The following is a 12,843-nucleotide window of genomic DNA, read 5'->3' as shown; positions in this document are numbered from 1 at the left end:
TTGGTTTCCATCATTGTGATATTTTGTATTTCATGCTTATTTTATTGAAAAAGAAAAAAAAAAGGGAACCCCGACATTCAGAAGCTAGCCTGGCATCACAGGTCCACCATGTTATCCTCCTATTGTACGTAGCGTCACAAAATAACAACCTCAGATATGGTTACAGAGAGCCTGATAAAGTGAGACATAGCAAATCTACTTTGAAATTTTGTCTAAGCACAGACAAAAACACAGTCACTGTGCCACTCACAAAATACCAAACACCCGTCTTGGAGAAAATGAGTGACTGCTACTTCTTTTTTTTTTCTCTCTCTTTTTTTTTTTTTTTTTTTTTGAGTCAGAGTCTCGCTCTGTCGCCCAGGCTGGAGTGCAGTGGCAGGATCTCGGCTCACTGCAAGCTCCGCCTCCCAGGTTCATGCCATTCTCCTGCCTCAGACTCCCAAGTAGCTGGGACTACAGGAGCCCGCCACCACGCCCAGCTAATTTTTTGTATTTTTAGTAGAGATGGGGTTTCACTGTGTTAGCCAGGATGGTCTCGATTTCCTGACCTCGTGATCTGCCTGCCTCAGCCTCCCAAAGTGCTGGGATTACAGGCGTGAGCCACCGTGCCCGGCCCCCTGCTAACTAATTACAGTTTTATCTTTCTTCTAGTTTGCCTTCTCTATAGATTAGATTTATTGAGATACCCAATCATGGAATTGGCTCCTGCTTCCTGACCACTTCCAATCTAGGGCGAATCCAACTTCCATAGGCCCTCCTTAAATTACCCATAAAAGCTCAAATCCAGTAATAGGTTCTTTATAACACCTCTTTTCGAAGATACCCCCCCATAGTTCTGTCATGGTATGTACTCTCCCTCAGTGCAACCCAACTTGTTCAACTATAGGTGTGTCCTGGTGGTCTTTGGCTAAAAGGCATTGACACTAGCAAGTTCTATTTTCTTTTCTTTCTGAGACACGGTCTCACCCTCTTGCCCAAGCTGGAGTGCAGTGGCGCCATCAGGGCTCACTGCAGCGTCAACCTTCAGGCTCAAGCAATCTTCCCACCTCAGCCTCCCAACTAGCTGGGACTACTGGCATGCACCACCACGCCTGGTTGATTTTCATTTTTGGAGACAGGCTTTCACTATGTTGCCCAGGCTGGTCTCGAACTCCTGGGCTCAAGGGATCTGCCTGCCTTGGCCTCCCAAAGTGCTGGGATTACAGGCATGAGCCACCATGCCCAGCCGCCATAGTTCCATTTCCTTTGGCAAAATTTTGTGGGTCCAAAAATCTGTCAATGGCAGTCCTCTACAAATGTTTAGTAAGGAGCAAATTTTACGTGGGCAGTCTGTTTTAGTTTGCATTGATTATTTCAACCAGATCTGATTTCCTTTGCTTCTTGTAATTTCCAGTGTTACCTTTAAGATGTGAGTCTTCTGAGTTCATAACAAATTTCACAGGTGCCATCTTAACCATTGTCAGTTTTATTTTGTATGATTTATAGACAAATCATACAAAATAAATGACTACCGGTGATAGTCATTATGAATCAGACAGAAGGTTGATAATTTTTTCATCTGCTTCTTGACTCAAGAACCTTCAGTAGGGCAGTGATGTAGGACCTGGATACGCAGCAAAGTAAAAATGATCTGCTTCAACCGGCAGGCTTGCTGTGTGCGCCATGCCCTTTACCAGGCACTGGGAACACAGGTCCTGCCATGAAAGTAATTCACAGTCTAATCAGAGCGATATAGGAGCTGGCTGGCCTCAACGTGCCAGATGGATGAGAATGAAAAGGGCCTTCCAAATGGAGGAAACAGCCAAATGCAACGAGTTTATTTATTCATTAAATATTTATCGAGTACTTACTTTGTGCCAGGAATTGGGCTGAGCATTGGGGATGCAGGAATGAGCATCTTCCATGTGGCCCCTGCTCTCCAGAAGCTCTTGGTCTGGTGGGGGAGATGCATATGAAACAATCGCTCCAGTGACTGCAATGTGTAATAACCACTGCAGAGAAAATCCAGAATTCTGTGGGAGCCTGGGACAATGGTAACCTGACAAGTGGGGGTCAAGGAGAGCTTCACTGAGAAACTCACTTTTAATCTGTGTGAAGGATGAGACAGACAAAGAGGAGGTTGTTCTTGGCAGAGGACACAATTCATGCCCTGAAGTGGGAAAAGACTTGACCTTTCTCATGGGATGAAAGCAAGCCAGTGTGGCTGGAATGAAGTGGGTTGGAGGAGGCTGTTGGAGTATGAATGAGGTGGACCGATATCTGATCCTGCAAGGGCTTGTCCACCATCCTAAGTTGTTTGCGTCTTAATTCAAAAGCAAGAAGTCAGGGAAGAGTATCAAGATAAGGGGTGGGGTGATTAGATTACAAATGCATTTTACTATGTCTATGGGAGAATGGATTGGGCGGCGGCAGGGGGGATGATAAACATCATGGAACCAATAAGAAGGAGAACACTGTAGTTGTTTACGGGAGCAACAATCACAATTGACCAGGTAGCACTCAGAGGAGGGAAATATCCATTGGAGCACTGAGGGTGGAAATGAGATTAGAATGGATTGAGGAGTGTGTGAGGTGAGGAATATCGGTGAAAAATATGAGAAACAACTGAGTTATGGACTGAATTGTGCACCCCAAAATTCATCTTAACTCCTAATGATTTTGAATGCCACTATATTTGGAGATAAGGTCTTTAAAGAGGTAATTAAGGTTGAATGAGGTCATATGGGTAATGACCTCATATTGACCTCATCCAATATGACTAGTATCCTTCTAAGAAGAGAGACACCCAGGGTGCACACACAGAGGAAAGACCATGTGGGGATACACTGAAAAGATTGCCATCTGCAAGCCAAGGAGAGAGGCCTCAGGAGAAACCAAGCTGCCAACACCTTGATTTTGGATTTCCAGCTTCTGAAACTGTCAGAAAATACATTTCTGTTGTTTAAGCCACTCAGTCTGTGGTATTTTGTTATGGGAGTCCTGGCAGATTAATATGAACCCAGATGTCCATATAATGAACAGTTGGGAAATAAATTATAATGCATCCATACTATGGGAAAGAGTCTTACCCTAAAATATGCCCATGCAAGTTCAAGACTTTGACTTTAAAAGGAGTTTAATTTCCATTAAATTTCTTTTCTTTGGCTTGTGAGGATTTCACTGCATTAGCAAAGACTGCTATTGAGCCTCTGGAGCAGCCTCCACATGGTCTTCTCTATGGTGACATAGTTGGTGCGGGTTGTAAGTAACAGACTCAGGCATCACTTGCATTGTTTCCTTTGTCTCTCTTATACTGCTTTTTAAAAAAATTTTTATGACTTTGAGAATCATGTGTGTATTTTGTTTCTGAAATTGTGCAGTAACTGTGTACCATCGGTTGAAATAGTAATTATCTTTTCCGTTTATGAAAATTCACCCTATGAATTTTCTTAGGAACAAACTAACCTTGTAATGAGAGGGATGACTGCGGAACTCTATGCAAATATTTAAAAGAATAAGGTAGGGAAAAATGAGGTAGAGCTAAATATAGTGACATGAAAAGATGCCCAAACCATATGGCTGAGTGAAGAAAAGAGGTGTATGTAGATTATGAAGCTTTTTTTGTTTTTTGAGTTTGTTTTTGTTTTTTTAGACAAGGTCTCATTCTGACTCCCAGGCTCGAGTGCAGTGGTGTGATCATGGCTCACTGCAGCCTCAATCACCTGGGCTCAAGCGATCCTCTTACCTCAGCCTCCCAAGTAGCTGGGACTACAGGCGCATGCTACCACGCCCAGCTAATTTATGTATTTTTTATACAGATGGGATTTTGCCATGTTGGCCAGGCTGGTCTTGAACTCCTGGCCTCAAGTGATCTGTGCACCTCGGCCTCCCAAAGTGCTGGGATTATAGGTGTGAGCCACTGTGCCCGGCTCTCTTTTTGTTTTCTAATACATATAACTATTTGTTAGTAGATGCTTAGGGGAAAAAAATCTGGAAACAGATACAGCCAATTTTTAAAGTATTGTAAAAATCATATCATTTAGGGGTCTCGGTTTTGCCAAATGAGCCCTGTTGATGAGTTGATAACCTCCTCTAGCAGGGAAACTGTAACACATGGTAATACACCGAAGGCCAAGAAGTCAGTGAAAGAGCCACGGGCTACCACTCTGACGCCCCCATGCTTACCACCCATGACACATGACCCAGTGTGGCCTTTGGGGTCAGGCCATGTAGCAAACACTAGTAAAACTTAGTATCTCTCCTAGTTTCAAATAAACATAACCATGAATATAAGTCCTAATATTTTCTCATCCCAATGGACCATCTTGAGCGAACACTGATATTTCTATAACTCTACAGATAGAGCACTCTACAAATGGATTGGAGGGTGATTCATTAGCATAGTATGTATATGCAATCAGAATACAATTTTGTGTATAAAACATCCACTGTGTATGATTCAGGGAACACAATTGTTCCGAGAAAGGAAGCACCAACACTATCAGGTATTTGTTTTCTGAGAAAGGAGGAAGATAGACTTTGATGATCTCTAGGATGACTTCCCACTGACTCTCTAAAACCCCTGGACCTCTCTAAGCCATTGAGGAAGCAGTTGAAGTGGCTGTAGTGGAATGAAGTGGTCTCTTTAAAGAAAATTGTATCCAGAGTGACTGTTAACCAGTGTGATACATGGCAGTCTTTGAAATAAATGTCTTTAAAGTCATTCAGTGTGATTCTATGTAGCTCTTCCACATTGAAGATGTTCTGTTTTATAAAAACTTAAATTTAATAAAAGAATTTAATAACTATCCCCTTATGATACATCAAATATTACTTTTCAGACTTTTAGCTACTTCTCCTGGAGGCAGAGTTTCCATAAAGAAGTCTCAGCTAAATGCTAAGCACTGTTACCAAGCAAAGAAATGAAAATTGAACATCGCCAAAGCAATTGTGTACATTTTTGGAAAATAATTTTATTTGTCAGAATGAAATTCACAGGCCTTTTAAGCAAAAAGTAGGCACATGATTAAAATGGCATTGAATTAGAAGAAAAAAGTTAATCAAGCAATCTTTATTGAAACCGTCTGTGCTAAGGTTTGTGAAGGAAGCATTGTAATCCTGGCTGACATTTATCATGACATTTATTGTATCTTGTGCCAAGCGGACCCAGATCAAAAGGTGGGTTATCTGTGCAGCTGCCCAAAGCACTAATCCATAAGCAGCACTGAAATGTCAAGGGAACAAATGGGAAATTGGTGCCAGTTACCTGAGCATTTCACAGGATTCCTTCAAAGTTGGCAAACTAAGTGGTTTCACTCCCACCAATTGTAGGCAGCAGATTCGAGTGATGTGACAGGGAGTAGGGGTGTGTTGGGGAAGGGGATGAGGTCAGAACTTTCAAGCTGGGACTACCGGAAGGTGGAGGAGGAGCGAGCGTGTGGGGACATCAGGCACAAGGACAGCGGTGCAGACAACCCCATCCCAGGTGATGAGGGGCTGGAGCACAGGGAACCTGGGAGAGAGGCGCCAGTGAGGTCGGGCGGTAGTCGGAAGCCACAGGAAATAATTTTAATATTACCTGAGCTGTGATGGGAAAACATTGACGTTTTCAACAGGGAAGTGGCATGAGCTGACTCACCTTTGAAAAGACCCATTTGGCTAACGGCTGGAGAACGGCTCCAGGAAGGCAAGAGTAGAGGCAGAGAGTGCATAATGAGAGGCCATGGAGGTGAGAAGTGATGGTGATGCACTCGGGATGATACTTCTCGTTAGAGCCAGCAGGGTTTGCTGAATACAATAGTTGCTTCCTAACTGGGCAGGGCTGGGCTGGGGCTTCCATGCTCAGTCTCCTACACAGCAGCCTCCTGGCAGCAGCCAGAGAGATTTTTCTAAAATATAAATCAGAATGTTACCTTAAAACCTTCAAGTGAAATAACCTAAATGGTTCCCAATAGGGAACTGGGTAAATAAATAACAGTACCTTATGCAATGCAATACCATGCAGTCAAGACAAACAAATGACCATGCAAACACTCTACCAATACCGCCACAAATGCTCTCCAAGACAAGAATTCAAAAAAACAGAGTGTGAATATTATGCTACCATTTGTAAAAGAAAAAGGGAGGATGCATGTGTGTGCACGTTTGATTTTGTATGTGTATAACATCTCTGTAAGAAAACACAAGAACCTTGTACCTAAATGGCTTCCAGGGAGAAGATCTGGACAGTAAGGGGATAGGGTGGGAGGGAGACTCTCTGCCTTTGGTGCTTTTGAGTTTTGAATCCTACGACTCTAAATAGTCGTATCATCAGTTTAACAATAAGTCAAATTAAAATTTTTACTTGAATTTGGCCGGGTGTGGTGGCCCATGTTTGTAATCCCAGCACTTTGGGAGGCCAAGGCAGGAGCATTACTTGAGGTCAGGAGTTCAAGACCAGCCAGGCCAACAGGGTGAAACCCCATTTCTACTAAAAATACAGAAATTAGCCGGGTGTAGTGGCGCGCACCTGTAATCCCAGCTACTAGGGAGGCTGAGGCAGAAGAATTGCTTGAACCTGGGAGGCGGAGGTTGCAGTGAGCCGAGATTGTACAACTGCACTCTAGCCTGGGCGACAGAGCCAGACTCTGTCCCCCACCCCCCACAAAACTTTTTTACATTAATTAAATAACTAACTCAGTTATCTCACTTCCTGTCTTCACTTAACAGAAAATCTAGACTCCTCAGCTACAAGGCCTCGTAACTCAGCCTGCCTGTCTCTGCCTTCATCCTCTAGCACTTTCTCACTGAGTTCCAGCCACACCAGCCTCCTCTTGATCCTCACCATGGCGAGCTTCGTTCCTTCTGAGGAGTTTTGCCCTTGCAAAGAGGAGGTCTGTGCTTTGACCTCTCAGGATAGCCCTATATGGCTCTGCTCAGAAGTCACTTCCTCAGAGAGGACTTTCCCAACCTCGATTTAAATTTGCTACCCCTCACCTTCATTATTGAAAACCCATGTTCCAGCCGGGCACGGTGGCTCACGCCTGTAATCCCAACGTTTTGGGAGGCCGAGGCAGGCGGATCACTTGAGGCCAGGAATTTGAGACCAGCGTGGCCAACATAGCAAAACCCTGTCTCTACAAAAATTAGCTGGGCATGGTGGTGCGTGCCTGTAGTCCCAGCTACTCAGGAGGCTGAGGTAGGAGAATCTCTTGAACCCAGGAGGCGGAGTTTGCAGTGAGCTCAGATTGGACCACTGCACTCCAGCCTGGGTAACAGAGTCAGATCCTGTCTCAAAAAAGAAAAGAAAAGAAAAGAAAACCCATGTTCTACTGTCTTCACAGCACTTGCCTTATCTGAAATTATGTCATTTACTTGCTTATTTATTGTATGTCTCCCCATTATGCTCAGCTACCACCATCATCTTGATGCCAGGTGCCAGGAATGGTGCCAGGCTCATACTAGACAGCAAATATTTATTAATGAATGAATGAGTATTTTTCTTTTTACTTCAATGTCTTGGTGGTCCTTACTGTCATCATATTTTTAATAGCTCTCGTATTATTTTATAGTGTATAGGGACAGCATACAGACTACAGTTTTAATCCTGGCTTTGCTTCTTTTTACATCTCTGACCTTGGGCAAGTCACGAACCTCACTGGATTTTGTAAAGATTGAAAAAAGATCCAAGGAATAAAGAGCTGGCTCTGAAAAGCCTCAGTGTGAACAGGATGAATGGGAAGGACTGCTGCCTATTTCAGGATGAGGAGATGGTTCTAGTCAGGGCAGGTGACCTGCCCAAGGTCACGTAACCAGGGGCCCAGAGGTCTCCACTTCCTGGGCTTCTGACTCCATGCTCTGTGCGTGATTGTTGGCGTTTTTTCCTTATCATTTCTAATCCTACAAGAGCCCCTGCCTCTCCTCCACTGGGAATGGAGTCTACGTTTATGATCAACAAATAACCCTCATTACTGGGAATTGGTAGCTTGTCTTTTGATTTTCTTCTTGTAAATGAGTGATATGTTTGGGCCTGGAAAACAGTACACAGAGTTTCTAGACAACATCATGAAATTAAATGCTGTGACACACTGACTTAGGGAAGCTGTTCATCTCGCCGTTTCTTAAAAGGAATGAAACGGTCGATCAGCTTTGCCTCTGCATATTTATTTGTTATAACTGATAGAAACACTAACATTTGGAGCCAGAGAATTGAACCTGCATTCTAACCTAAGTGCCTAAATACAAAGTCATTTTCCAGACATCGTGTTCATATTTTATTTTCTCAATCTAGACTGTAGTCCGCAGGAATAAGGGCTGGATTTGTAATGACCTGGAGGAGGTTGTGAATCTCTGAAATTTGACAACAGATGTCACTAGTGCCACATTGCTCACAGAGCCATCATGCTACCTGGCATTTCAGAATTCATACATTTTCTTTGGCATAATAAAATATTTTTATGAAAATGCAGCAGCTTGTTGTAAAAAATGTCTGCCTCCTGTGCCAGGCACTAATACCATGTCTGACCTCATTTATCCCTGCAATGGCTTTAGGAAGTCACAACATAACCCCCATTTTATAGGCAGGGAAACAGGCTTAGAATGGCCTAGTATTACCTAAGGTCATACAGAAAATGACCCATGCCTATTTGTCTCCAAAGCTGTGTTCTTCCCATGCTATCTTTGATTAAAGTTCAGCATCGCTATAAACAGCCCCCGAAGTGTGCCATCCTTGAAGGGCGTCTACCTTGCAGCCGTCCATCTGAGCCAATTAGAGCTACTCAAATTAGGAGTGTTGCACTGAAGCAGATGAATAGAGGCGGAGTGGGCTGAAATACAGAATTTAATCGAGCAAAATGATGGCACAGAAGTTCCCAGAAGCAGAATCCCAATAGGCCCCCTAGCCTGCAGCTCCCTGATGCTAAGTCACTGACATTTGAAAAACTTGCTCCTTAACAAATTATGCATCCCATTTTCTTTTTCCACCTCCACTCTGTGAAGCAGCAATCAGCTTTGTCATTCATTCTTCAGGAAACTAGCCAGGATACGCCAGGGAGAGTGCAACTGAGAGCTTAAGATGTCTCTTTCTTGAAAAATCTTGGAACAAAGAAGCTGTTGTTGTGCCTTTGACTCATGTCACTTTTTAATACGGTGTGGAGAACGTGTTCGTCGTACCATCAAAACCCACATGAGGTTGGGGATGGAAGAGGGGGAGGCATGGAGGTCATTCTCGGTGTTTGGGGGTGCAAGGAGGGCACCAACATTTACTATTCTCTACCTGTGGGTCAAGTGCCTTACACATGTGCTCCCATTTAATCCAATGGCCCTGCTAAATAGCTGTGTGTGCCCTTCCCATTTCAAGGATGGAGAATGAGAGGCTGAGAGGTCATAGGACTTAGTCAGGATGCAGAGTCTGGATTTAAATCAAGTCCCCCTGACTGAAACCATCTCATTCCGCTGTGAATCCCCATCCTTTGTATTACCAGTGCCAGGCCCTCCTCCATGCCCTTCTCCATGGTAGATCACCAGAGATGTGACTCCCACATCCAAGCTCTGATCTAGGCTGGGCAACCATGGATGGCCACGCCATCCCTCTGATCCTCAGTTTCCAATGATAAAAGTCGAATGTTAGTTGTTAAAGGCTCAAATCAGACATGGTCTATTCAACATCGTTGCTGGAGTTCCTGCCTTGGGTTGGGCGTTAGTGCCAAGCATAGAGGAGCAGAGAGACTTACACTTGTTCGTGGGGGGCTAGCTGATATTTTGCAATCTATAAAGCACCATCCAAAAGTAAGTTACTGTGAAGTGAATATCGTTACCTCCCTGAAATGTGGAGGAGGTTCCTTTTCGTACGGTATCCTAAGACCAGGTTGGAATTTTTCAAATAGAGCATCAACTAAGAAACTAGAGAAAAATATACCTCCGAAAAGCAAAGAAATAAGAGAGTTTGCCAAATTCAGGGTCTCACCCTTTAAAAGCCTTTAAGTCTAGTGGACAATTATATGGGCAACGGGTGAGAGGACAGGAGGAAGAGAGTTTTCCCCTCCAGGGGTCCAGATGCGATTTTGGTGCAGAGTGTCTCTGCTGCCCACTTCTTGTTGGGACTGCTTTCTTTGCTCAGGCAAAGGACTTCTGCCTGTTTATTAATCAGTTCATCATCCATAGATTCATTCATTTATTCATCATTCATTCATTCATTCATGTCACTTCTCCTATATCCAACATTTAGCATTGACAGCTTACATGCTACAACTAACTTCAAAAGAATAATTACTGTTCAAACACAAAGAAAGGATGCTTTTTCACATGAAGGTACTTACAACAGGAAGCTGCAAGTGTAAAATTTCTCTGTGATTCTGTTTCCTCCATTAACCCAGCTCTGTTCCCCACATAGGGCTCCTCACTCCACAGGTATTAATAATCAGGGAAGGAAGGAAGAGAGAGAACAGGGCCATATTTGACAAATGGGAACCCAGGAGGGTTAAGCCCACCAGAGTCGTCTGGGTGACTCTGAGGCCGATTCTGGTAGTGCGGAGGAAGTGTCCAGTGCGGACTTGGCCCTCTGGAGGAGACAGAGCCACCAGGAGCCCACAGCCACATGGTGGAGCACTCCTGGCATGCCAGGGGTGGGGCAGAGGGCTGAGGGCTCTGTGCACCAGGGCATCTGCACCCTTCATTCCATTAGTATGTGAGGCTCCACTGGCTCCCAGCAAAGTACTTTGCTCAGGGCCCCACTGGCACTGAGTAATACAAACCCGAACTGCAAGGTGATTCAAACCCAGACTCATTTAACTCCACTCTGCTCTCCAGACTACTCTGCACAAAAATCACCCAGAGGCAATGGTTTAAAAAAAAATGCAGAATCCAGAGCCTCATCTGCTCCCTCAGCTTAGGATCCTGCAGATCTGGGCTGGGGAGCAGAAATCCGCATTTTGGCTGGGGCGGGGGGGACGGAGTCTTACCTTGTCGCCAGGCTGGAGTGCAGTGGCGCAATCTGGGCTCACTGCAAACTCCGCCTCCCGGGTTCAAGCAATTCCCCTGCCTCAGCCTCCTGAGTAGCTGGGACTACAGGCGCACACCACCACGCCCAGCTAATTTTTTGTATTTTAGTAGAGACGGGGTTTCACCATATTGGCCAGGATGGTCTCGATCTCCTGACCTCGTGATCCACCCACCTTGGCCTCCCAAAGTGCTGGGATTACAGGCGTGAGCCACCGCACCTGGCCAGAAATCCTCATTTTTGACAAGTAGCCAGGTGATTCTGATAAGGGCTGTCCACTCTGACCCGGGTACAAACAAGGAGGGTTCAACACACCTGAGCGTTCGTCAGAATGACTTCAGAAAAACCTGAGCAAAGATTAACTCAACACTACTATGTACCAGGCACTCTTCTGAGGACAAGGGAACTCACTAAATCTTCCTGGCAAATTCATGAAGTGGGAGCTGTCATCATCTCTTACCTCATATTCTATTATATTACAATAATTGTATTATATGTTATAAATCAGGAAAGGGAGCAATGTAAACTGAGGTCAAGGAAGACCTCTCTGACATATAAATGAGGAAACTGAGGAATACAGGGGATACCTAACTTGCTCAATGCCCTGGAACTTTTTTTTTCTTTTTTTTGAGACAGTCTTGCTCTGTCACCCAGGCTGGAGTACAGTGGCACCACCTTGGCTCACTGCATCCTCTGCCTCCTGGGTTCAAGAGATTTTCCCACCTCAACCTCCCAAGTAGCTGAAATTACAGGCGTGCGCCAGCACGCCAGGCTAATTTTTGTATTTTTAGTAGAGACAGGGTTTCACCATGTTATATTTTTAGTAGAGAGGGGGTTTCGCCATGTTTCAAGACCTGTCTGGCCAACAAGATGAAACCCTGTCTCTACTAAAAATACAAAAATTAGCTAGGTGTGGTGGCTCATGCCTGTAATCCCAGCTACTCAGGAGGCTGAGGCAAGAGAATCACTTGAACCCTGGAGGAGGAGGTTACAGTGAGCTGAGATCACACCACTGCCACTCCAGCCTGGGTGACAGAGCAAGACTCTGTCTCCCAAAAAAAATAAATAAATAAAAATTAAAAAAGAAAAATAAAAAAAAAATGCATCACCTGTATTGCAGGAAATTCAGTCAGGCCCCGCCCCAGACTCGCTGAATCAGACACTGTGGGTGCGGGACTCAGCCATTTGGGTTTCATCTCAGCTTCAGGTAATGCCAATGCCTGCCCAGGTGTGAGAACCACTGAGCTATTAATAGATCATCTCGTGGGTAGGTGGGTGATGTCCTGCAACCCCCAAGTTGGCCTCCACCACGTCCTCTTGGCCTTGAGGTTTCTGAGGGTTTTTCTTCATCTCCTAGTTGAGTTCTCCAGTTCATTCCACACATAATCAATAGATTGACAGAGCGGAGTGGGGGAAGGCGGAATTCAGAACGTTCTTCTGTTTTGAAAACAATTCTGCAGCCAGAAGCACCTCCAGAGAGAGACATCCTGAGTGAATGTGACAGCGGCCTGCTTGACCCGCCTGAGGTGTGGGCGAATGGGCACAAGTGGCTCTTAAACGGACTCATTTCTGGCTCCATTGTTTCTGAATGCAGGCTTCTGGCAGGACCTCAAAGAGGTGGCTCCAAACCAGTTTAAGCACACAGCGACAAAGGTGTGCAGCTGTCAACTTGCTTGCCCTCTGAGGTTGGGGTGTGATGCCCTGCACCCTGCCCTCAGGCTAAAGCCCAGGGCCTTCCTGCCCTTCCGCAAGTATGTGCCCTTCCCGTGCTTAGAATGTTCTTCCCCAGGTCTTTGCAGAGGTCTGCTCTGTCACTGTATGAAGGTCTCTGTTCAAATGCCACCTCATCAAGAAGCCTCCCTGGCCACTGTAGCCAAAGTAACCTCCCC

The 12,843-nt window shown here is 45.0% G+C and overlaps 1 long non-coding RNA gene across 1 annotated transcript; it reads right to left on the bottom strand.

Moving 5' to 3' along the window:
• Window positions 1-4,936: 4,936 nt before the first annotated feature.
• Window positions 4,937-12,339, bottom strand: LOC105372502 (uncharacterized). The gene is made up of 3 exons (XR_937202.3): window positions 12,064-12,339; window positions 5,618-5,867; window positions 4,937-5,491 (listed from the first exon to the last, which is right to left on the bottom strand). It is a non-coding gene; the product is annotated as an uncharacterized LOC105372502 (long non-coding RNA).
• Window positions 12,340-12,843: the final 504 nt, after the last annotated feature.

This window comes from Homo sapiens, chromosome 20, assembly GCF_000001405.40.
Source record: "Homo sapiens chromosome 20, GRCh38.p14 Primary Assembly".
Classification (NCBI taxonomy): Eukaryota; Metazoa; Chordata; class Mammalia; order Primates; family Hominidae; genus Homo; species Homo sapiens.
The sequence above is the reverse complement of the archived record's forward strand: the minus strand, read 5'-3'. Positions and strand labels throughout refer to the sequence as shown.